The 26954-nt window shown below is 37.2% G+C and overlaps 1 protein-coding gene across 2 annotated transcripts in view, besides 3 other annotated features; it reads left to right on the forward strand.

Moving 5' to 3' along the window:
* The window catches only part of RAPGEF2 (Rap guanine nucleotide exchange factor 2), a 257095-nt gene that overhangs the window by 62388 nt on the left and 167753 nt on the right, over positions 1 to 26954 (forward strand). For both annotated transcript variants that reach the window (NM_001351724.5, NM_001394067.2), the window contains exon 2: positions 21176 to 21246. In NM_001351724.5, the coding sequence (NP_001338653.1) occupies positions 21176 to 21246 (71 nt within the window). The remainder of the gene's footprint in view (positions 1 to 21175; positions 21247 to 26954) is intronic.
* Positions 4159 to 4268: an enhancer, noted in NCBI's record as "active region_22090". NCBI's record gives its function as "activates an Ori minimal core promoter by ATAC-STARR-seq in GM12878 lymphoblastoid cells {active_cell/tissue: GM12878}" and the evidence as "EXISTENCE:reporter gene assay evidence [ECO:0000049][PMID:35858748]".
* Positions 4509 to 4618: an enhancer, noted in NCBI's record as "active region_22091". NCBI's record gives its function as "activates an Ori minimal core promoter by ATAC-STARR-seq in GM12878 lymphoblastoid cells {active_cell/tissue: GM12878}" and the evidence as "EXISTENCE:reporter gene assay evidence [ECO:0000049][PMID:35858748]".
* Positions 9920 to 10652: an enhancer, noted in NCBI's record as "OCT4-NANOG-H3K27ac-H3K4me1 hESC enhancer chr4:160096538-160097270 (GRCh37/hg19 assembly coordinates)". NCBI's record gives its function as "activates a minimal SCP1, AML or CMV promoter by ChIP-STARR-seq in primed H9 embryonic stem cells {active_cell/tissue: H9 hESC(primed)}" and the evidence as "EXISTENCE:reporter gene assay evidence [ECO:0000049][PMID:30033119]".

Raw genomic sequence — 26954 nt, forward strand, 5'->3', positions numbered from 1 at the left:
ACATAAATATAATTAAATGTGTCTTCTCTTTGCCTAAAGGTTTTTGAAGTCAGGTTATCATTAGTGAATAATTCATATCAGGTTGAATATAAGAGCAGGTATTTTCATTTTAGCATGTTGGATACTGGACATCAGATTGTGTAAACAATGGATTTTTGTTTGTTTTTTTGAGAGAGGGTCTCAATCCGTTGACCAGGCCGGAGTGCAGTGGCAGGATCACAGTTCACTGCAGTCTTGACTTCAGCCTCTTGAGTAGGGAAAGACTACAGGCGCCTACCCCAATGCCCAGCTAATTTGTTTAGTTTTTGTAGGGTTGGGGTCTCGCTATGTTGCCCAGGCTGGTCTCGAATTTATGGGCTCAGGCAGTCCTCCAGCCTCTGCCTCCCAAAGTGCTGCGATTACAGGCATGAACCACTGTGCCTAGCTAACAATGGACATTTTGGAAAATGTGAAAAGAAATCACAGAGGTTACAAGAAAGATTTTTTTAAAAAGTCATTGAACAATGAAATAAGAAATTAGGAAGTAGGACTAGTCAAAAGTGGATTAGTGCTCCAAAGATGTAAGGAAAAGGGGCCGGGAGCATTGGCTCACACCTGTAATCCCAGCACTTTGGGAGGTGGGTGGATCACAAGGTTGGGAGTTTGAAACCAGCCTGGCCAACATGACAAAACCCCATCTCTACTAAAAATACACAAAATTAGCTGGGCGTGGTGGCGGGCACCTGTAGTCCCAGCTACTTGGGAGGCTGAGGCAGGAGAATTGCTTGAACCCAGGAGGCGGAGGTTGCAGTGAGCCGAGATCATGCCACTGCACTCTAGCCTGGGCAACAGAGCAAGACTCCATCTCAAAAAAAAAATGTAAGGAAAAGGGCAGAGGCATAAATCAAAACTGAGCAAACCCTCAGGGCTCTGGCAATGAGACTGGGTGTGGCAGAGGCCTGTGGGGTGAGGGGTGAGTGCGTCTAGAGGAAATGTACTGTTTTGCAGATAATAAGTATTGATCAGACATGCATTTTTACCTCTGCTGTGGGATTTTAGTCTCATTACTTTGTTGATCTACTTTGTAGTTAACCTAGAGAAGTTAACACAGCCATTGCTACAGAGCTTTCTGCCACTTGAGTTCCAGAATTCCAGAATCCAGTTTCCTAGGGATTGTGGGGAGTAAAAAGAGGTATAGGGTATGGTCCCTGTATGGGAGCAATACAGTCTTTATTGAGTAGTGTCTATATTGTCTTGTTTACTCAGGTATTTCATATATACATTAAAAAAACCGACAATAAAAATGAACATATGAAAACTTCCTTATTTGTGATACATGAGTAAATGTTGATGAGATTAGAGAAGGGGTCCAAAAAGGTTTCTCTGAGGATATGAGTTGAGTTGCCCATCAGGATGGATTGGGTAGTGGATGCTGATGTGGGCAAACACTGGAATAGACCTCAGATGCTGCATGATGTGCCTGTGTAACACAGTTGAAATTTGGTGATCAAGGGACATATTACAGCAGGGTAGGGCAACCGCCTAAAAAATGACTTGGGGTCCTTTAATTGGTTTATGTTGTACATGGTGAAAGAAGAGAAGGCCCCGAAATGACCATGGCATAGAAAATAGAAATCAAAAAGAAAAGTATGACAGGAGACTTTACAGGATTAAAAAAAACCACGACTCATTAAATGTGTGAAAAAAGAGAAAATAGTTGCTACTAAGTTGAAAACTCCTACGTGGTTTTCACTGGAATAGCTGGGACACTGGTGCAGGCACCAGAAGTAGAGAAATCTAAACATGTGGCCAGTTTTTTGGGGGAAATTTAGTGTGAAGTTTAGTTACCATTTGAAATGACGCTTCAGCAGCTTCAAATGGTAACTAATCAGCTGGGAATTGTGGTGGTTTGTAAAAAAAAGTCAGAGTCCAGGAGTCAGTTGTAAAGATAGGCTGAGAATAGATGCGATATCTTAGGGAAGGATCCTTATGAAGAAGAATGACGGTTCAAAGCCCAGCCCTGGGAGTACCTAACATGGAGAGACTGCAGAGCCCATGTTGGGCCGGGAAAGACCCAAGGGGAAGGACTGGCCACACAGCACTGGGTGCCTTCCCGAAGTTTCATACCCTTTCCTTTTGTGATTTTTTTTCTTCTTGTGTGTCACTGTCAAATTTTAAAAAATGTTCTATTTAATATTGTTTGTCTTACTAGAAAGGACAATGATTTTCTCTGTTTTGTATGCTAGTGTGTTCCTGGCATCTAGAATAGAGCTTGACACTATTCTTGGCACAAGAAGAAAAAAGGATTTGCTTTAAAGAGATCACTGGTGATCTTGGAGAAACAAATTTCAGTAAATTTAGGGGCAAAGATCAGATTCCCAAAAGTTATACAATAACTGGATAGTTGAGAAAATGGACCAAAGGAATGTACCTGTTTAATGTAGTGGTAGATTTACTTCCACAAGTATTGTTGTCTTTGATTTACTAACATTTTTCTATTACAGTAAAAATTAGGATCAACTATGATGAAATGAAATTTAAAAATAAGGTGGTGAGGCTCATATGTGTAAATATGTATGATCTTGAAATTTTGTCATGTTGTCCAGTGACGCAGTTTTTATAAAAACCTTGGTGCCATTACTCAAAACAGGTTTAGAATTTATGTTGGGGTTATTGCCAGAGTTGTTTAGTGAATTCTACAAGGAAGTTACCTCTTTACTTTCATACAACAGTATGTTGTTTTTGAGCCTGATTGAACTTAAATATATTCAACCCCTTTACCAGGCTTAAGTCTGGGTGAGTATGTTGAATGTTTTCACAAGCCAAATCTCCCCAGAAAGGCTGAGGAATTACTACTAATTACAATATTCAAAGGAATGTATTTCCAGGTATTCTTGAAGCACACATACCTATGCGTGCATTTGATAGCCAGAACATTACAGTGAATGACCAGTGAACAGTCAGGAAACAAATCCATCCTTGGCCTCCCCTTTTTATTTTTATTTTCCCTCCCCAGTTCATTGCAAAGGAGGCAGACTAGATGCCGGGCAGCCAGGCCCCACACATGGTTCAGCACAGCTGGTGGTTCTGCCAAGTTGGGTTTCATCCCCAAGAGCATGCAGATTTATTAGTACATTTTGGCAGAAGACATCACTTTATATTAAATTATTATTGAACTGTCATAAATTTAAATAGTAAAAGGGTATACTTTGAAAACGACACCTCTTTTCTAATGATAAAAGGACCTGATGATACATGTAGGATACGGTCACGTTTCATTATGCGTAGGAGGTACTCAGTAACAGTTTTCCAATGGAAAGAATGAGAAGTTATGGGTATTTATTATTTTTCATATAATTGCTTTGTAGGTAGCTTGAGGATCAAAGGCTAGAAGAGAAGAATATATGTGATAGGATATAGAAGTTTTGATATCAGCTGGCAGCAGTGGTAGAGTGGAAGAAAGCATTTGTGAATTTGGGAGTAAGAAAACTTGTCTTCTGACAACCGTTATTCATAATTGAATTTCTATCTTGCATTGTGGCCATTTGTGAGAATCTTTTATCTATTCTAGCAAACTGAGTTTCTTTGAGGACCAGAGTATATTGTACCAACCTTTGTATCCCCAAGGCAACATCCCAGCACAGTGCTTTGCACAGAGCAAGTATTCAATACTTTGAATTGACCAGTGAACTGCAAATGAAGGGAAAGGATAACATCTGAACAGATTTTGGAACCCCCCTCAACTCCCAATCTATGTGGAAATTTGAGACTAAATAAAAGTTGTCATTTGTATTAGGAAAAAAAATGTGTGTTTAATTAAATACTCAATTACACGTCAAATTCTGCTGTTCTCTTGTTTTTAAAAGTTTATTTTTAAAATTGATACATAAAAATTATAGGTATTTATGGTGTACAACGTGATTTGAAATATGCATACATTGTGGAATAGCCAAATTGAGCCAATTAACATACATATTACCTCAACTTATTTTTTGTGGTTAGAACACTTAAAATTTACTTAGTGATTTAAGAATACAATATATTGTTGTTAACTGTAGTTACCATGTTGTACATTAGAGCTCTTGAACTTACTCCTCCTAGCTAATTTTGTGTCATTTGATCAACATCTCCCCAACAGCCCCCCCTCCCCAGCCCCTTGTGACCACTGTGGGAACTCTCTACTCCTGTGAATTCAACTTCTCTAGATTCTACATATAGATGAAATCACACAGTATTTGCCTTTGTACGCCTGGCTTATCTCACTTAACATATCCTCCAGGTTCATTTATATTGTCATAAATAATAGGATTTCATTTTTTTTAAGGCTAATATTCTGTTATACCTATATACCGCACTTTCTTCATCCATCCATTGAGGGACGTTTAGGTTGATTCCGTATCTCAGCTGTTGTGAATAATGGTGCAGTGAACATGGGAGTGCAGGCATCTCTTCAACATAGTGATTTCATTTCCTTGAATATATAGCCAGTAGTGGGACCGCTTGATCATATGGTAGTCCTATTTTTAATTTTTTTGCAGGAACCTCCATACTGTTTTCCATAATGAATATACTAATTTACATTCTCATCAACAGTGAGAATTTCTCTTTTCTTCACATCCTCTTCAATGCTCATCTCTTTTTTTTTTTTTAAACAGCCATTCTTACATGTATGAGGTTTTGTTGTGGTTTTAATTTGCATTTCTTGGATGATTAGTGATCTTGAACATTTTTTCATATACCTGTTGGCTATTTGTAGTCTTTTGAGAAATGTCTATTCAGGTCCTTTTCCTATTTTGAAATTGGGTTACTTGTGTTTTTTTGCTATTGAGTTGTTTTTCTTATATATTTTGTATATTAACCCCCTATCAGGTGTATGGTTTGCAAATACAGTCAGCCCTCCATACACTCAGGTTGCACCTGCAGATTCAACCAACCATGGATCGAAGATATTTTAAAAAACCAATAAACAAACAATACAACAGTAAAAACTAATACAGTAAAAAAGACAATACAGTATAACACCAACTATTCACATAGTATTTACATGGCATTAGATACGATAAGTAATCTAGAGATAATATATGGAAGGATGTGCATAGGCTACACGCAAACCCTATGCCATTTTATATAAGGAAAATCCTCGGGGGCGGGTTCTGGAAGCAACCCATCATGGATACTAAGGGTCAGCTTTATTTCCTCCCATTCTGTAGGTTGTCTCTTTAGCCCAACTGTTTTCTTGGCTATACAGAAACTTTTTAGTTTGATGTGATCCCATTCATCTATTTTTGATTTTGTTGCCTTTACTTTTGGGGTCATTTCCAGAAAATTATTGCCTGTACCAATGTCATGGAACTTTTCAGATGTTTTCTACTATTAGTTTTACGGTTCCAGGTCTTACGTTTAAGTCTTTATTTTGAGTTTATTTTGTGTATGGTATTAATAAGGGTCTAATTTTATTCTTCTGCATGTGTAGATACCCAGTTTTCTCAACATCATTTATTGAAGAGACTCTTCTTTCCCCCATTGTGTGCTCTTGGTACCTTTTTTGAGAATCAGTTGACTGTAAATGGTGGATTTATTTCTGATCTCTCTGTTCTGTTACCCTGTCTACTTCTTAAGTGGTCTACTATTAGAGTGTTGCAACATTGTTATTTTACTTTAAGACCAGACATTATCTAAGAAAACAAAAAAGATAAACTAAAATGCTGTTTTGAGTATGTTGTAGGAAATCTCTGCAGCCTGACATATTTTGGCAGAAGCCAAAGAGTTACTGATAACCTCCTTCACCCTGAGGCACTCCTCTCCGTTTGATTTTCATAATTACCTTTAACTTGAACAACAATAATGTTCCACATGCCAGTGTTCATAAAAGAAAGTGCCTACTACACGTCAAGGCACTGATGATTCGCTTAGAAAATCTTAGATACTCTTATTATTCCTATTTTACGGGTGGAGAGACTGAGCCACAGAGAGGTTGAGTGACTTGTTCAGGGATGCCAAGCTGGTAAATGGCAGTCAGATACTGAACTCAGTCAGTGTTGCTCAAGTGACTCATCTGCCTAGTGGCCTGGCAAGCAGAGAGTATGCAGGGGAATTGCCTGGAAAGGTGCACTGTGATTACCTGTTCTGTCCACAACATCTTCCTACATCATTTTGCAAATTTTTCGTTCTATACCAAGGCCCAGAGTTCCACTAGTAGTTCTAGAGATATCTTTCATGTAAAAGGAGTGTCTCTTAAATTTTTTTTTTTAAGAATCTTTCATGGGATAGGGTCAAAATACCTAGAATACTTTTTTCTGGAAAGTTTTCATAGAGAATAAGAGCCGGAAGTAAAAGGTAAATAATTCTGCAACTTTGCAGTCACCTCACTCACTCAGTAAGATTGCTTTAGGTAGGTGTCAGAGACAAGTGTCCCAAGTTTTTGGATTTTCATCAAGCCAAGACCATTGCCCTTCATACTACCGTTCAAGAGTTACAGCACCAAAATAGGGTAGGCAACTTAAAACATTTCTTCTGTTAAGGATATTAGATAAAACAGTGAACTACTATCTAGTATCAATATAATTTCAAGTAATGACATTATAAAAAAAAGGGAAGGTTACAGTCCCACAATAAAGGAGAACTCTTTAAATGGAATACATTAAGCTTATCAAGGATCTCAACTCATTGTCCTTAATCTCTCATTTTGCCACACACTAGTGAGAATTCTCTGGTGGACCTACATTTGGAACCTTTTCACTAGCCTTCTTTGAAATCTTTTACCAAGAAAATATTTTATAGCTTCCTTTTCCTTCTTCCTGTATGGGTCCTGTAGTTCTCGGATGCAGTAGCTGATAGACCCAACCACCCTTTATAACACTGGCCCTGAGGCAACACACATTTTAAGTTATGCACAAGTATTTTAGGAAATGTGAAGTTGGGAACCGTTCTCCTACCTTCCCTATTCATGTTCCTTTCTGATTGTGATGGCTGCTCTGCAGTAATTGACTTCATAGGATATTCACTCTTACCACCCCAAGGGCTCTTTGCTTCCTTCTGATTTCTGGAGAATCTTGGTAATGATGATCTGAGGGCTTTAAATGTTGGGGGTGGGATGTCAGAGTATCAATGTTGTGAAGGTAAAGGTCTACTTATTTATGAATGTGATGGAGTCTGTCATATAAATCAAATGTACACATGTACAATTTTAAGTTGTAATGCACGCATGCTACTTCCTCTGTAAGTGGGGGAGGTAGAACAGTTATCAGTAGGATAAGTAAAGTGAGATTCTTAGCTTCAAAGGAGAATTCAAAACATGTATTGAAAGGTGAGATACTTCAGAAACTATAACTTGCTGTCCCTTCTAGTGGAGCACTTGATTAGAAAATACATATTTTTACATATTTTTAAGTCTCTGATTCTTCTTTGAAATTCAGTAATACCCAGCATTTTCTGTAACTGCCCTCCTCTGCACCCTTTCCCTAAATAGTTTATCTGATTGGATAAACTATTCCTCTTCTCTGCTCCTTCACCTTTCATGGATAGGTCTAAAAGAGATCAATTTTGAACAGACCTAAAATTTCTTTAGCATTTTAGCTCATTTTCTGACCAATAGTGGAAGGCTTTAATTACATATGTCGAATATTCTCATTTGCTTCTCCTGTCCTCTTGAGAAATAGAAAATTTGAGAATAAGTAGTACTATTGGTGGTTGACTCCTTGGTAAAACATTCAAGATGGGAAAAACAGATGTCAAATTATTTTTGTCTTTTGTCCTAGAAAAATGGCTACAATGAAATTTTCTATATTTAAAACCTTCCATTCAAAGAGTACTTCTTTTTTGCTAAGAGGCAATAAAGAACTGGTGTCCTCAGTGACCTATTCCGCTTTGCTTTTATTAAGACTATCTAAACTCTACCGTGGTAGGACTATTGAGATTTGTACAGTGAATGTTCAAAATGAGTGCTGTTGATAGTGCCTCTGGAATTAGGTTGGTATTAGAAACTTGAGGTTTCCTGAGGGTGATTTGTGCAGACTCTATGGCCCTTTGTTGCGGAGATAGGAGTTCAGTGGAATGATGTATAGCAGCCCCTGTCTGTCCACCCCCAGCTCAACAAGGTTTCTAGGAGGTTTAACTGGAGCCAGACTGTATTTGGGAAATGAATTGAACACCAAGCTGAAGGTTTTAACTCTACTGATAGAGGAGAATTTGTGGGGAAGGTGTTTGGTTGATGTTATTTTTTAATTGAAATTGAAGATAGTTCAGGAATCATTTTATTAGAGAGAGAGTGTATGTCTGTGCCTCTGTTCTCTGTGTGTATACGCAGCTGATTTCTGTTTTTGGTTGTTTTACTTAAATGTTAAATGTAATCATTCACAGCCTGCTAACTTTTGATGGAAAAAACCAGTGCAAATATAGTATGTTAATCTACACATGTAAATTAAAATTTGACTACAAATATTGCAGTCTGAGAGTCTATTAAAATAAGATACTTTTAAAATGAAGATATCTTTTGTTAAATGTATTTTTGCTGCCTAAGAGATGGCAATTCTGGGAAGCTGTAGGCTTGGTGGTGTAATACATTGTTCTGAAGGGGAAATATTTATACTGACTCTTGAAAACAGGAATTGCGAACTGATTTTGGACACTTTCTCTTTTCTTATTTGTTAACAAAATGAGTTTTTGGTGAAAACTAAATTGTTGCTTCTTCTAATGAAAAATCGTAACTTAACAAGTGAAACTTGCTTACGGGATCATTTTTCCCAGGGACGTGACAATTAACATGGTGCATAGTATGCATTTTAGGTTGCTAAACATAACACCCAGTTGGTAATCATAAAAACTGCCTGTGACTTCTGTTGTGACTATATCATTTAACCCTTGTGTTTTCTTCAATGAGAGATAAACTCTTTGAGAATGCAGATTATAGATGATACTTCATCTGTCCCTTAAAATTTATGAAGTACTTGGTACCTTCTTCAGCTCTTGTCCCTTGACACTTGACTGCTCTGGGGCTCCCTGACACCAACTTGAATTAGAAGACGAATGGGATAAAAGAGTGTTTTGTTGTAATTTACAAGTCTGTTTTGTAATTTTTATGGCTAATTAATGAGGTAATTACTAATCACCTTTGTCTCAAGTTTAGGAATTGTTCAAAAACTCAGTCTAAAAAAGCATGCCTTTTTCAGTGGAAAACACTTGAGGAAGTTTTTTGATTGATTTGTTTATTTTTTTCCTCTGGAAAAGAAACCTGAAGAAGTTTTAGACAAACAGGGAATGACTTGAGTCTTTATAATTTACTTCTAGCATTCTTCATACATGTCTTTTCTTTCTTTCTTTTTTTTTTTTTTGAGATAGGGTCTTGCTCTGTTGCCCAGAATGGAGTGCATTGGCACAGTGACAGCACACTGTAGCCTTAACTTCCCGGGCTCAAGTGATTCTCCTACCTCAGCTTCTCCAGTAACTGGGACCACAGGTGCTCGTCACCACACCTGGCTAATTTTGTTTTCTTTTTTCTCTATAGAGATGGGTCTCACTGTGTTTCCCATGTTGGTTTCAAACTTGGACTCAAGCCATTTGTGGGGATTACATATATGGCTGCACTCAGCCATACATATGTCTTAATAAAGTTTAAGCCATACATGTGTCTTATAATGTTTAGGAATCCGAGGCTGAAGAAATATACGAGGGCCTTATCAGCAATGACCAGTAATGTCATTATCAGGTTTTCCTGGGCTTTGATGTGAATTTGAATGAAATCACAATCCTAGGAGATTGTTTTTCTTTTGGGTGTAAATTAGTAAGTTCAGAAACAGTATTTTGCCTTCATATGATTTAGGGTTAAAGTAATTATTGTAACTCTAAAATAATAATTTTTTTTTTGAAAACCATACACTCTGCTATGGATTTTTTTTCTTACATTGTTCAAAAGTATGTGATGATGTAACTCTGGGGTATGAGTCACTCGGATGCACAAAGCACCTCAGCAGGCTGGTGATATGACATTTTTGTTTTATTTGCTCTGGTGCTTTACAAAGATCTGGGGAGGCTGTTTTAAAATAAACATTTCCCTGCTAAGGATGATAGAAGTTAAACAGTTTTAATAGGAGTGCTGATGGACTTGTTCCCGACTTCCTGCCCCTTTTCGTCAGGGACATAAAGAGAAAGGAATCATCATATTCTTTAAGATGATCTTCAGGAATGCTTTAAACCCCCATCTCTGTGTTGACTCACTTGCGAGACCGGCGACTGCTTTTGGGTTCTAGGAAGGACGGTTGGTCCAGTCTGCCACCTTGTGGTTATTTACAGAATTATTTCAGCCTGTATAGGTGTGAGTTTTCTGAAGCCGTAACACACAGATTGAAAACACATTTCCTGCATTTCTTTCTCTCCCTGTTCTCAGGGAGTGCTTAAGATCATGCATACCACCACCCCTGCAGGAATGTTGCCCTTTTCTTTCTTTGCACCCAGCACATCCACCGTTCGTTGCTAGATGCAGAGCTGAGAAAGAGATGTAAGAGAAGACGAGTGTCTTTGTTCAAGGTGCTTCTCTGATCGAGGACATAAAATACAAACCTATTAAAGTGCCCACATAGAGCACATGTGAAGGCCCTAATGTGAATGGTCAAGGTGGTAAGAACTTTAGAGGCTCAGAAAGGAAGTGTTCACTGCCAGTGTTAAATGGGGTCTTGGAGCAGAGGAGGATGGAAGAGTGTTTGGAGGGACTTTGTGTTAGGCTGTACCCAAAGACTGCTGGTCATCATGTGGAAAGGGTACAAGAGGTTGTTGGTGTTTGGGTTTCATTCCAGTGTGGGGAGCCTTGGAACGAGGTGGTTTGAACATGGTGTGCTTGACACAGTGTTAGCAGATACGTGCTCTGGAGGTAACAGGCACCCTCCGCCCCCACCTCAAAGACAGCATTAGCCTTGTTTGGGAAATTCGTGGGTAAAGTTATTAGTCCCTCTCCTGCATGAACTTTAATGTAGTTTGTGAACCTGGCAGAAATATATGCTATACAATGTTGTATAGGACAAGGTACTGTGGGGCATATTTTGGGAAATACTGCAAAAAAATGTTAAAAAGGTTTAACCTGACAATATGCTACTGATGTGTTATATTGAATTACTTCAATATAACAGGTTTTTTTCAAATAATACTTCAGTTGTGTGGATATATTTTGGAAGAAAATATATACAAAATTTTAATTTGTTTTCTAATACCATCCACAGATGAAAAAATATCCAAGAACGGTGCTAAATTAAATTAGGTCTTCAAAGTCAGTTTCAGTAACTCCAATGTGACCTGAAACTTGTGGGAAACCTCTTGTAATTTTAAACAATGTTAAGAGTGAAGTGTAAATATTATAAGGAATGTTTTAAAGGTAGAAAGTCTGTAGGTCCAAATGTTAATGGAATGCATGCAGAATTTTTTTTAACGACTTCATTTTAAGTGTTGTAAAACAGTCTTGAGCTATGGAAGGTAAACTTACATTAGAGAGGAAAATACTTACAGTTTGTTGTCCAGCTCTGCCAGTCTTAAATATGTTCCTAGCCAATCTTTCTTGGAGGAAAAATTAAGTGGCTGTTTTCAAATTGGAAAATTTCCCCATTCTCCTCTTTCTCAATCTTAAGGATATGAGATTTCTTACCAATGTCATTTGGAAAGTATATTTATAACAGATGTGATAAAATATATGTCAGGTACACTTCTCTTTAAACCTAATATAAAAATCTGGATTTATAAAACAGACAATTTAGGGACCCTTATAAGTATTATAAGAATTCATTCAACTTTTTTTTTTTTTTTTGGCATACAGACACATCATAAAAGGATACATTAATTTGTAAAAATTCTGATATATATAGTGTCTCAGGAATATTTTAAATTTTATATTCTTAGGATTACTTGTGCTTTTATTCAGATCTCATTGGCAGTGAACTCAATCACCTTTTTTTCCAGGATCTGATTTTGCCATGAAACTATCAGTACTGAAACTATGTGTAATTTCAGCCACACAGCCTAGTTGCATAGATATTATTCACCGTCTTTTGCAAATATGGTCTCACTAACAAACCCAGGGTCACACAGCTAGGGAGTGGTGGGGATCAGGATTTGAACTCTGCCCATCTGACTCCAAAGCTTGTATTCCTTTTATTACATCTCTCTCCTTCTTAGGATAGCTCTTTTGTATGTTTTAGTGTAGAAGTATTTGAGATCTCCTAAATAAAACACTGCAGCTTAACCATAGCATATCCACTTAACCATACCGTATCAATAAACATAATGAAACTTGCAGAACTTCCCCTTTTCTGCCCCTTCACCATTTGGGTATAGATGTGAATTTGAGCATTGGATAATCTAGCTTTTAACCCCGTTATTAATAATGTTCAAGACGTAACTCTCTAATTCATTGCTAGTGATCTTTTGCCCAAAAGGATAAATTTCATTTTTATCTTTCCAAGTTCCTCTCTCTGATGGATCAACAAGGAAGAATATGTTGGCATCAGGACAGTTCTGGTCCTGTGACCAGTGTCGCTTTAAGCAAGATGCTCCTTTCTCTTCCTCCTTATGTTTAAGTCCATAGACATTTACCACTTAGGCCTCAACCTCCATAGGCCTGCTAATTATGACACAGTCTTGGCCTCAGTTTCCTTGACCATTAAGAAAGACTTTTTAAAGGAATCAATCCACTTCCAAATACAGTTAAATATGTAGGTTCATATATGAAACAAAACCCCTTTTAAAGGAAAAAGATATGTCTTTTTTCTCATGCTGCAGTGGAACATAATCCCCCCACCCCATTATTTTTTGTTGTGTACAAGCAGCAAAGAGTCTATACAGGATAGGAGGGATTGCACCAGCATATGGTATGGGCAGGCAGTCAGGAGAGGAGGTGGAGAAATATTAATCTGCTCTCAGTTCTCCAAAGATCATATTACGACATACTGTACATTGTTAGTGAGATCTTGATGCTGCAAACAAATGAAACTAAAAGCTAGTTGTAAGTGAATTGTAAGTTTGCTATGAAGCCCGTTATATATTCTGAATGAGTCTCTAAGGAGAAATTAGAGAGCCCAGGATGTGGGGTACTCTCCCTCTGACTTCTTTCCCATTAGCATGTATTATGCTTTTTTTTTTTTTTTTTTTTTTTTGAGACGGAGTCTCGCTCTGTCACCCAGGCTTGAGTGCTGCCGCGCGATTTTAGCTCACTGCAACCTCCACCTCCCGGGTTCAAGCGATTCTCCTGCCTCAGCCCCCCAAGTAGCTGGGCTTACAGGTGCACACTACCACGCCCGGCTAGTTTTTGTATTTTTAGTAGAGACGGGGGTTTCTCCATGTTAGCCAGGCTGGTCTTGAGCTCCTGACCTCAGGCAATTCACCCGCCTCGGCTTCCCAAAGTGCTGGGATTACAGGCGTGAGCCACCACGCCTGACCTAGCATGTATTATGTTAACAGACTTTGAGCAAGAGGATTGACTTGGATAGGTTGTGAACAATCACCCCCCTAAAGTACTTAAAGGATGCTTTTGGGTTTTGAATCTGGTTTACATTTGGGACAAAAAAAGGGAAAGCTTTATTGGTTTATCAATATCTTTGTCCAATGTGCTACCATGGTTTTATAACTTCAGTCTACTTTCAAGTAGCATCTATTTTGAAAAAAGGATGTCCTTCCTAGGGTAAAACGAAAGACTTATTGTTCTAAAAAATGCTGCTTCCTGGTTAAAGCAACATGTTCCTGTTTGTGCTCAATGACTAGAGAATTTGGGGGAAAAAATAGCTTACTTTTTTTTCAGAGTCCTTTAAAATAGTAGTAGTCATGTGAATTTCATTTGTCTTGGGAAGTGCAGTTGGGAAGGTTAGAAATTTTTCAGTTTGTGTGTCATAGTTTTTTGACCAAAATGGAAATTGAGACACTCTAGGTAATTTAACTCTCCAGCATTATTTTTCTATAGTTGTTGGTTGAAATTTCCTTCTATGAATGTTTCTTGTTTGCATAGAGAAAAAAAGAATCTAAAAGTGTAACTCCCTGAAGGCCATACATTTCTTTGTGCATCTTAAGAGAAAAGTCTTGCTCTGTGATGCTACATATTTAGTTTTCACTAATGGTTGCACATTTCAGGTTGGTTTGAGGAGCGGGACTTCTCAGCACCCCATTCTTACTCACTTGCCTTTCTGTTTTTTTGCTGGTAGAGGCAATTCCATGCCAACTAATTATTTTAAGAAAAGCCAACAACTAAGGGGAAATGAAGGTTGAAACTTCTGTGTGAGAAGTGAAGGAGGAGAAATAGGAGTGACCACTATGGGCAGGAAAGGAGTGGGGGTAGCTCCTGGGCAGGGCAGAGCTGGATTGTTTTGCAGTGGCCTTTCATGCCCTAAATCTCCTCCCTTACAACTCCTGGTAGATTTCATTTCTCTTGGTTGTGCTGCCTGAAATCTCATACCACTTAGAGGTTTGTTTGGACTATGGAAGTACAAATGCCGACAGACAGTTCATGTGCAAGTTTTAAGGGTTCCTATTGAATGTGTTCAGATTGCCTGCCTTTAATTCTTAGACCAGGGCATAGTGAGCCGATATGGGGCTTGGGTAATGTGAGGTCTCGACACCTGGTGAGAAGGTAGAAAAAATTGATAGGAAGATTAGAAATGAAAGGCAATGTGTGCCTATTTCAAGACATTGCTTAGTCCCGCTTGCTTTTAGGAAAGGATAAGAAAACTTGTCTTCCGTTTTCCTTTTTGTTGTTTATGCGATCTGTGGTAACTAATATTTGGCTGCTGACCTCCTGATTGAAGAAAAGCTTAAACACAGATTGCTTCTTCCTTTAATTTGCATGTCTTTTGCTTATCTCTAGTAAACTTTCTTTCATTTTTCGGGGTCTGAGAGCAGAGATTTCTTGATGTCTTTGCCATAGTTTCTCTTTTTTTTCCTACATACCCAAATCCACGTTGGTCAAGTTCATATTACGTAGTGAAACATTACTTATGTGTTGCCTGCCACTCCTGTTAATACAACTAAGAAGTCTCAAGTTTACATGGAGTCTATCTGTAAAGCCACCTAACTGCATCTATAATAGCAGAATAATGTAGTCTTTTCCCCTAGTTTATAGGCTCCTTGTGGCACAGACCGTTTAAAACAAGTTTCATGTGGGATGATGTACTGTAAGAGCAATAGAAGAAACCCTGAATGTAATTGAATTTATTTAAGAAGTTTATAGTCTGGTTTGATATATAAAATACAAAATGAAGCAGTTACTACACAGGGTTTTCTGGTTGTATACTGCTTGAATAATGACACGTTTGAAAGTACCCCCTAAAAATCATGATTATATGGATATGAATGTTTTATTTATGCAGGTACATATAGAAAGAAAAACTGCTTTTTAAGTTTGTTCATGCAGTAAGGTGTAATGTCTATTTCCCAGTTTTATGATACAGGCTCAGTAACAATTTCCTGATTGATTTACTTATGTCAGTGAATTATAGGTGATAATATTCCATTCTTTACATTTTTATTAACTAATCAACAATCTTATTTAATTTGTATGTTATAATTAAGATAAAGAAATAATGGTTATTATTCAAAGTATACATTCATATTCAAAATTGTTAAATCCATGTATATCATACTAACACACATAATGTGTATGACGTAATTTGTATAAGAGCGTGGCCCTTATACAACTGTGAAACACCGTAATGTTGAAAAGCAACAGATTAATAAAGTGCCACTTGATCAGTGAGCTAGCTTTTTATCTTTGATTTTTCTTGGGTTAGTTGAAGGCGTAGAAACTTGATTATTTCAAGGCCTTTTGTTCTATTTTAAGGCCTTAAGGCCGTTCTTTGATTCTGTCTTGAGGCTTCCAAATTCTTGCTTCTACTGTGTCTCTTAGACTTCTCCATCCTTTCCTGACATAGCTTTTAAAAATTTTATTTATTTTTTTCTAATACTTTTCCAGATACACTTTTCTGGTCAGTGTGAATTTATTTGCTTGATGGTTAAATGAATGCAAATAGTCTTTTTGCTTAGATAAAATCAGTTTTAGGCCTTGGGCAGATTATGACAGGTTGACAGGTAATTTAGTGAAAACAATGTAAGACTTTAATATTAGCCTTACATTGTCAGAATATAAGCTCCTCAGAAATGGGAAGACAGTCTTTTTTTTTTTTTTTTTTTTTGAGATGGGGTCTCGCTCTGTTGCCAGGCTGGAGTGCAGTGGCACAATCTCAGCCTCAGCCTCCTGAGTAGCTGGAACTACAGGCATGCATCACCACGCCTGGCTAATTTTTTGTATTTTTAGTAGAGACGGGGTTTCACCATGTTGGCCAGGGTGGTCTCGATCTCCTGACCTCAGGTCATCCACCCGCCTCGGCCTCCCAGAGTGCTGGGATTACAGGTGTGTGAGCCACCATGCCTGGCCGGGAATACAGTCATTCTGTACTATTTAACAACTTCAAGTAACATACAAATTCATATTTAAACAAGAATGGTGAACTTTAGGATTATCCAGAAGGATCTTTTATTATAAATGTTTCATTGGGACATTTTTATTGGCTTTCCTTGAATGCAAATAGAACATTATGATTGGAGCCTGATTGCTTTTCTAAAGGAGGGGTTTATTAGATTTAGGAATGTACACTTTGTTAACTGGATAGGGGAAACAATTTTGTTTTAATTTTCTTATTGGTATTGAACTTATGGGACCTGTTTTTACATTTCCATCTTTAAATAGCTTTTAAAAGGCTTCTTGGAAATATCGGAGTACAGATGGATAAAATGAGAGGCAATCAGTTTATTTGAAAGTTGTCTATATGACGGTGACATTTTAAGTCCCTAATACTGATAAATTTTAAATTGGAATGACTTAAAATTATAAATCATGTCTTAACATACCATAACATTGTTTTAAGGAGTAAAATAGTCTAAAATATTTTAGACTGAAAAGCTTCCTAGTATTTTCTTTTCTTCTTTTTTTTTTTTTTTTTTTTTTTTTTTGATACAGAGTCTCACTCTGTTGCCCAGGCAGGAGTGCAGTGGTACAATCTCGGCTCACTGCAACCTCCTTCTCCTGGGTTCAAGCGATTCTTCTGCCTTAGCCTCCCAAGTAGCTGGGATTACAGGCATATGCCACAACACCCAGCAAATTTTTGTATTTTCAGCAGAGATGGGGTTTCACCATCTTGGCCAGGCTGGTCTCGAACTCCTAACCTCAAATGGTCTGTCTACCTCGGCTTCCCAAAATGCTGGGATTACAGGCGTGAGCCACTGTGCCCAGCCTTAGTACTTTCTTTAAAAGGTTTCTAATTCCTTATCTAGTTATTCTGTGAATTATTGTCATCTGTGTCCTTATATAAGATTTAGTTGCACACACAGTTGTAATTGTTCATAAGTGTTCTCAGGCTACAAAAAGTTTTTTTTCTTAATTAAAAGGATTAAAATTTAACCAAGAGAGTATGGTCTGTACACTGAAAAGACAAAAACAATGTTAAAAGAAATCACAGAAGACCTAAATAAATGTATAGACATCACATGTTATGGATCAGGAGACTTAATATTTTTAAGATGGCAATACTACTCGGATTGGTCTGCAGATTCAATGCAACCCTACTAAAATCCCAACTGGCTTATTTGCATATACCGACAAGCTAATCAAAAAAATTAAGATTGAAAATGCAAGGCACCTAAAAGAGCCAGAAAAATCTCTTGTGAAAGGTAGAACAAGGCTGGAACACTCACAATTCACAGTTTCAAAACTTAACTACCAAAGCTGCCTACTCAAGACAGCGTGATACAGGCATAAGGATAGACAAACCAGTGGAATAGAGTTGAGAGTCCAGAAAGAAACCCTTTTATATGGTCAATTGATTTTTCAGTGAGCATACCATTACAGTTCAATGTGGTAAAGAATAGTCTTTCCAACAGAGGGTTCCAGGACAACTGATATGCACATGTGAAAATAATGTTGGACCCCTACTTCACACTGTATACAAAAATTAAAATGGATCACAGACCTCAATGTAAGAGCTAAAACCATACAACTTTTAGAAGAAAATATAGTAGTAAATCATTGGGATCTTGGATTAGGTAATGGTTTCTTAAATATTACTCTAAAAGCTCATGCAACAAAAGAAAATAAATTGGACTTCAAAATTAATATTTTGTGCTTCAAAGGACACCATCAAGGAAGTAAAAAAGATGGTCCATGGAATGGGAGAAGATATTTACAAATTACACATCTGAATAAGGACCTTCTATCCAGAATGTATAAAGGACGGTTACAATTTAATGATAAAAAGACAGATAAACCAATTAAAATATGAACAAAGAATTTTTTTTATTATACTTTAAGTTCTAGGGTACATGTGCACAACATGCAGGTTTGTTACATGTGTATACATGTGCCATGTTGGTGTGCTGCACCCATTAACTCGTCATTTACATTAGGTATATCTCCTAATGCTATCCCTCCCCCCTCCTCTCACCCCATGACAGGCTCTGGTGTGTGATGTTCCCCACCCTGTGTCCAAGTGTTCTCATTGTTCAGTTCCCACCTGTGAGTGAGAACGTGTGGTGTTTGGTTTTCTGTCCTTGTGATAGTTTGCTGAGAATGATGGTTTCCAGCTTCATCTGTGTCCCTACAAAGGACATGAACTCATCCTTTTTTATGGCTGCATATTATTCCATGGTGTGTATGTGCCACATTTTCTTAATCCAGTCTATCATTGATGGACATCTGGGTTGGTTCCAAGTCTTTGCTATTGTGAATAGTGCCGCAATAAACATATGTGTGCATGTGTCTTTATAGCAGCATGATTTATAATCCTTTGGGTATATACCCAGTAATGGAGTGGCTGGGTCAAATGGTATTTCTAGTTATAGATCCTTGAGGAATCGCCACACTGTCTTCCACAATCGTTGAACTAGTTTAGAGTCCCACCAACAGTGTAAAAGTGTTCCTGTTTCTCCACATCCTCTCCAGCACCTGTTGTTTCCTGACTTTTTAATGATCACCATTCTAACTGGTGTGAGATGGTATCTCATTGTGGTTTTGATTTGCATTTCTCTGATGGCCAGTGATGATGAGCATTTTTTCATTTGTCTGTTGGCTGCCTAAATGTCTTCTTTTGAGAAGTGTCTGTTCATATCCTTTGCCCACTTTTAATGGGGTTATTTGATTTTTTTCTTGTAAATTTGTTTAAGTTCTTTGTAGATTCTGGATATTAGCCCTTTGTCGGATGAGTAGGTTGCAAAAATTTTCTCCCGTTCTGTAGGTTGCCTATTTACTCTGATGGTAGTTTCTTTTGCTGTGCAGAAGCTCTTTAGTTTAATTAGATCCCATTTGTCAATTCTGGCTTTTGTTGCCATTGCTTTTGGTGTTTTAGTCATGAAGTCCTTGCCCATGCCTATGTCCTGAATGGTATTGCCTAGGTTTTCTTCTAGGGTTTTTATGGTTTTAGGTCTAACATTTAAGTCTTTAATCCATCTTGAATTAAATTTTGTATAAGGAAGGGATCCAGTTTTACCTTTCTACATATGGCTAGCCAGTTTCCCCAGCACCATTTATTAAATAGGGAATCCTTTCCCCATTTCTTCGAACAAAGGATTTGAATAGACACTTATCCAAGAAGTTATATAAGTGGACAAAAAAGCACATGAAAAGACGCTCAACATCCTTAATCATTGGGGAAATGCAAGTCAATACTATTACACACTTAGTAAGATGATTAAAATAAAAAGAGAGACAGTAACAAGCTTTGGTAAGGATATAGAGAGCTTGGAATCCTCATACATTACCTGTGGGATTATAAAATGGTTGCAGTGACTTAGGAAAGCAGTTTGGCAGGTCCTTAAAGAGTCAAACATAGAGTTACCACGTGAACCAGCAGCTTCACTTCTAGGTGTATACCCGTGAGAATTCAAAATGGTGTTCAAACAAGAACTTACGCATGAGTTTGTAGCAGCATTATTCATAATAGCCAAAAAGAGGGAAGATCCTAAATGTCCATCAATTGATAAATGGGCAAATGAAATGTAGTATATATCTACAATGAAATAATATTTGGCAATAAAAAGGAAAGTACTGATACATGCTAAAACATGGATAAACCTTGAAAACATTGTGCTAAGTGAAGGAAGTTGTCCCCAAAGATCATATATTCCACTGTGGGATTTCATTTACACGAAATGTCCAGAATAGGCAAACTCATAGAAACAGAAAGTAGTTTAGTGGTTGTCAGGAGCTTAGAGTAAGGGGGAATGGAGAATGACTGCTAATGAGTATGGAGTTGTTTTTTTGGGTTGGTGAAAATGTTCTGAAATTAGTGAGATAGATTGTACAACAAAACCACTGAATTGTTCACTTTAAAGGGATACATTTTATAGTATGTGAATCATCAGTAAATAAAGCTGTTAACACTTTGAAAAGGAGAGGATTATTTTACAAATTTCTTAAAATAGATCTGTTGTAGATTTTGACTAAGGTTTAAGAGAGGAGTAAATATCCCTCATATTCTTGATGTCAGAAACTATGTGTAATCCTAGACTCCTAGATATTAGAGTCTTAAAATACTAAATCCTTTCTGGCTTGTCACAAATGAATATAAACAGGACTTTGAATTTTTACTTCTTCTGAACTTTCATAAATAACTTTGAGTCTTTTTTTTTCTATTTACTGCAATGTGATCTGGTAAAACAAGGCACGTTTTCTTTTTTAAAAGAAAATATTTAAACTTAAGTATTTCTATATAAGAAAATATTTCTATATAAGATGTAATTTTGGTAAGAATTGAAAAAAATTGAATTTATATCCATTTTTAAGTGTAGCCAGGAAATAACAAGCATTCATTTTATATTGACTAAGAAAATAATTTGATTTAACTATGGTATTGACAAATATACTGTGAAATTAAAACTTTGTACTTGCTATTTTGATGTAAAAGGCAGAAACAGGTGATAAAGAACGATTTATGAGGAATTTATTTTTATAAGTTAATCATTTTATTTTATATTTTAGTAGGTTTAGTGCATATCCCAGAAGCAGTTGTAATGGATGACATTTGTACAACTGAGCTTTTAATAATGTTTATTTTTACTGTCTTAAGAAAACATGTATTTTTAAAAAAGCTATCCATAGTTTAATTTGGTTTGTAGATACAGTGTGACTTATTTTAGAAACCCCTTTTCCTGACAGGTCTAATAATTTCTATTCTTTTCTTTGAAACAGGATCTGGAAATAGTATATTCCTATTTACATGGTATGGAAGCCTTATCAAACTTGAGGGAGCATCAACTTAGGTATGTCATTTTAATATTCAGTTAATCATAGAATGGTAAAAATTTGAAGCATGTAACAATTTAACATTTTAATTTTTTACTTTTATTCTTACTTGACATAATAATTGTACATATTCGTGGGGTACATTCTGATATTTTAATACATGTATACAATGTATTGTGATCAAATGGGGATTATTAGCATGTCCATCACTTCAAACGTTTATCATTTCTTTGTGTTATAGCATTTGAAATCCACTCTTTGAGCTATTTGAAAATACACCACAAATTGTTGTTAATGATATTACCCTATAGTGCTATAGAACACCAGGACTTATTTCTCCTACCTAGAATGCTAGAATTTTATAGATCACTTACTGTAGTCAACAAGTAGGCTTAAAGGAATCTTATTCATGAAAAGTCTGCTTCATCTAGGTCCTATACTAAGGAGCTTAAACTTACACTAATAATATATACTTAATTAAGTTTTACTTTTACAAAGTTGAATTCAATTGTATCCAGTAAGAGAATAATATTTTGACATTTCTGTCATAGTTATATTCTTCCATTTCCACCCCAGGGTCTGTCTCTGTCTCTTTCTTCTTCCTCCTCCCCTTTTTTTTCTCTGTCTCTCCCCATCCCCCTCCACTTCCCTCCCTTCCTCTCTCACTTCTCACCAAAAGTAGTAAATGCCACTTGGTGAATATATCAATAGGGGCAATATTTGCCATCTTGGCAAATAAAAACCTACTACTTAGCATTCAGATATATTAGAAACCAGAACCTTTTAAATTAATCATTTAAAGAATTACTAGGTCCATTATTTTAGTATGTTGTATATCTTTGTTTGAATATTTTATTGCATTAAGTAGACTACCTTTTTCAGAGAAACACAGTTTATACTATATTTGTTTTTATGAGATCTGCCCATATAGAAATCTCATCACTTCTGTTGTACAGTAATACAGCAACTATATTTATGTTTATCTGGGCTTCATATTAAAGAACAAAAATGATTTTACCTTAAGTGGGATATAAAATAAAGGACCTTAGGAAGATGGATAATATATAAACACCAACTAGGACATAATGGGAAAGTCTTGTTTTTTCCAGGTCTAGCTATTTTTGATGCCAGCGGGTTTTAATTATGAAAGGAATGCTTTTTCCATATATTTCCCCTTTACTCTTTCAACACTAATTAATTTGTGAGCATGTCAATTCCATATTTAGTTAATTGAAAAGAATATCAAGAGGATTGAGTACTTCTAAAATTAAATTTTTAATGAAAGTCATTTAAATTAAAGTAGATTGTAGATTAAGTGTTTAAAAATTAAGTCAAGTTTTATTAGAAAGGGCAAAACCACTGGGATTTTAGAAGATGGCTCAAATTAGAGCAAGAATAATTTTTAAAGTGTGTAACTTTCATTTTATATTTTGTGACGACAACTTTGCTAAGAAAAAATTGTACTAACAATTATTTAATTGCGTGCGGTTAATTCATAAATGGAAATGCAACTAATTAATATGTAAATACAAATGTCACATTCCCACTGTGCACATAAAACCACACATGTAATATTTAGATATATTGATTATATAATGCATTTTATTTAGATAATAGGAATTCTATGCAATAGAAAAAGGATTTTTTATACTTACAGAAATTTTCTGGATGACAAAAGTATAAATAGGCTGGGCGTGGTGGCTCATGCCTGTAATCCCAGCTCTTTGGGTGGCCGAGGTGGGTGGATCACTTGAGGTCAGGAGTTCAACACTAGCCTGGCCAACGTGGTGAAACCCCATCTCTACTAAAAATACAAAAATTAGCGGGGCGTGTTGGCAAACGCTTATAATCCCAGCTGCTGTGGAAGCTGAGGTAGGAGAGTCGCTTGAACCTGGGAGGCAGAGGTTGCAGTGAGCAGAAATCGCACCACCGCACTCCAGCCTGGGCAACAGAATGAGACTACATCTCAAAAAAAAAAAAAAAGAAAAGAAAAAAAAGAAAAGGTATAAAAATACTAATGAAGTTCCATACACCCATCAGCCAGTTTCAGAACTGTCAACTTTCTGCAGCTGCAGAAGTAATTTTGGTTATAAATAATAAGTTCAAGGGTATAGTTGAGTCTATTTACACCTTAGAATGTCTATTTTGGAGCCTACACAGATGTGTTTGTTGGCATGAACCTACAGGGCGGAGCCTGTGAGATGTTTATCTTATGCTTGTGTTGAAGTCATATTAATGGAAAACATCACCTTAAACTAATTTAAGTTCTTTTTTAGAACAAGATCAGGATACCACATACATAATAACAAAAATAGAGGTACAGATAAACCCAACAACTTAAACTGCTTTATAATACTACAATTTCTGGGAAAAATATATCTCCTTTAGATAAATTATTTTCCTTTAATTTTATACCCTGGGAATAATAGAGAGCAGTCAGTTAAGACTTCCACATGACACAGTTTTACAATTTTAGGAAATAAGTGCTCATAATCAAGATTTTCAGTCTGTTAAGTATTGGGCAGTAGAGCAGCAACATTCGTGTTCTCCTGTGGGGGAGTGGAAGTGGCTTTTATTTATTTGAAAGCTTCCCTGCATTGTTACAGAGCAGTTAAAGTAGACATTACTGTGTTGCTGTAAGATCACACACTGTGCAATGTAAAGGTTTTTCAGATCTTCACTAAAAACTATGTTTCTTCATCATTTTAACTATTTTTCTAATGTTTTATCCGTTTAGTTTATATAGGCAAGAAGCAGCATATTTGCCAGCGGGGAAGAGTATGCTGTAATTGGGAGCAGAGACCAAAAATCTGTTTAAAAAAGTAGAGTAATTGGGGCTATTCAGTTTTGGAAACAAGAGCCTGCTGAAATAAAATAATACATATTTTCTGCAGCATCATGGATGAGTGTAATTGTTACTATATAGGCGCCTTTAGATCTTTGAGTAGTAACCGAATTATGGTTATTATTCTCATAGGAACTCAGGGAAGGTCAATATGCTTCAGCTAAAACATTGTCTAACAATGTTTAAAGACAAAAAGCATTTTGGTACTTGATTCCTCCATTTATGACATTTTCATATAAGAGATTTTATCATGACTTTCTGATAGCACTGTTTAAATTTATTTTATAAACAGTTATCAATTGATTGTATACTTACTGTGTACTTGATATTGATGTAGGCTCTGGAGATACTGCATTGAAGTAAATCAAACCCCTGACATCACGGAACTGAGGTTCCTAGTGGAGCAGAAAAGATTGATATTTGGATCAATGTTACTTTATTTAGTATGCTGGACATGATGAGGATGGGTGCTAGACAGCTCTGGCTTTGGAGTCAAAAGGAGGGGTGACATTAGAGTCAGGACAGCCTGCAAAGATTTCTTCAGTGTAGAGGTGCCCCAGATGCTCTGTCATGGGCACAGGCTTGGTGCAGGGAAAGGCAGGGTCCACGGTATAGTAAGGCACAGTAAGTAAGTAAAATATAACAGTGTAGAAGTATAGCAAATAGCATAGGAGTTTGGATTTTCTTTTAGAGGTTGTGGAGATTAGAGTGGAGCTGTGAGATCATCTGACTTAGTGGTTGGAAAGATCTCTGGAAGCTTTGTGGGGCCTTGTGGGGAATGGACAATAGGCATGTAAAGGTGGAAGCAGAAGTCTCTGTACTTGTGGTCTTGGTAAGGGATAATGGTGGGATAATGATAGCTCATGCTAGATTTAACAGGAGAGATGGTGAATTTGGTCAGTTCTGGAGGATGTATTTTGGAAACAGGTGATGGCGGAAAGATGTATGTGAAGAAAAGAGAGAAGTCAGGAATGATGACTCTAAGGTTGTTACTGTATTAGTCTGTTCTCACTATAAGGCCATACCCGAGACTGGGTAATTTATAAAGGAAAGAAGTTTAATTGACTCATAGTTCCGCATGGCTGGGGAGGCCTCAGAAAACTTACAATCATGGCAGAAGGGGAAGCAAACACATCTTTTTTCACAAGTGGCAGGAGAGAGAAGAATGAGTGCCCAGCGAAGGGGGAAGCCCCTTATAAAACCATCAGATCATTTAAGAACTCACTAACACCAGAACAGGACTGGGGGAACCAGCCCCATAATTCAGTTATCACCACTGATCCCTCTCATGACATGTGGGGATTATGGGAACTGCAATTCAAGATAAGATTTGGGTGGAGATACAGCCAAACCATATCAGGGTACTAATTCTGGGAAAGCATATTTTGGGGGAGAAATTCATATTCTGTCTTAGATATTGTAAGCATGAGGTGGCTGTTACATATTCAAGTGGCAGCACTGAGTAGGCATTTAAATGAGTGGCTGCCGTGATGAGAGATCAGGTCTGGGGCATTGCTTTGGAAGTCATCAGTGTATAGATTAAAATCATGAACTGGGTGAGATTACTGGAGCATAGAGAAGAGGGCTAAGGACAGGACCCTGGAGATGATAACATTTAGAAGTCAGGTAGAGGATGAAGTTGGGGAGCATCCAAAAGAGACAGAAAAAAAAAATGACTAGTAAGTTAAGCTGGAAAAGCAGAAGACCAAGGACAGGTTGCTGAAAGGAAATAATGCTGTGAGGAAAAAGGAGTAATCAAATACTGCAGAGTAGTGGAATTGCTAAGGACAGGTAGGATTCTGATAACAAGTTGGATGCTGATTATTTTTAGAGCTTTTTCTTTGGAGTTTTAGGGACCAAATGATGGAGGAGTGGGGAAAGGGGTGAGAAAATAGAGATAGAATATATAGACAACTCAGGCCGGGCGCGATGGCTAATGCCTGTAATCCCAGCACTGTGGGAGGCCAAGGTGGACGGATCACGAGGTCACAAGATCGAGACCATACTGGCCAACATGAGGAAACCCTGTCTCTACTAAAAATACAAAAATTAGCTGGGCGTGGTGGCGCGCAACGATAGTCCCAGCCACTTGGGAGGCTGAGGCAGGAGAATTGCTTGAACCCGGGAGGTGGAGGTTGCAGTGAGCTGAGATCGCGCCATGGCACTCCAGCCTGGTGACAGAGTGAGACTCCATCTCAAAATAATAATAATGATAATAATAATACTATATAGACAACTCTAAAAGATTTTCTGTGATGGGAAAAAAGCAAAATATAGATAATAGCTGGAAGGAGATGTGAGGTCAAGAGAGGAGTTCCGCCCACACGATAGGTGATATCTTGAGTTATGTTACATATTAGAGGACGTGATTCAGTAGAGAGGAACATGGAGAAGGAGGTAAGCTTGCAGGAGCACGGGGTCTTACACAGGAGTGCAGGGTCTTCCGTGGAAGCAGGAATGAGATTTGGGGTGGAAGTAAAGAGGCCGAGGCAAGAACCCTTCTATTCCAACAGGAAACAAGGCAGAGCCCATTATCTAGTTTAAGACCAGATATTTTTAGACTTAATGCTTTTGGCTACCATCTTTTCCTATGAAAAATTGTTATTCAACTTGGCAACTCATTGAAGAGGAATGTATGCTTAGTAAGATGTATTCAAGACTCACTGCTGCCTCCTGGAGTTAAGTGAGAATCAGCTGCAATGTTTCCAGGAAGGGATTGAGGTTAAGGACCTCTAAAGTACGGTGGTGGGAACGCGAAGAACAAGGAAAAAAAGTACCAAAGAGAGCTGTTTCTTTGATTTAGCAAACCGAGGAAAGAAAGATGGATGTGGGGTGATTCTAGTGTTTCACAGGTTGGAGAATGGTAGCCCGAATGACCAA

Source organism: Homo sapiens, chromosome 4, assembly GCF_000001405.40.
Source record: "Homo sapiens chromosome 4, GRCh38.p14 Primary Assembly".
In the NCBI taxonomy this organism is placed as follows: Eukaryota; Metazoa; Chordata; class Mammalia; order Primates; family Hominidae; genus Homo; species Homo sapiens.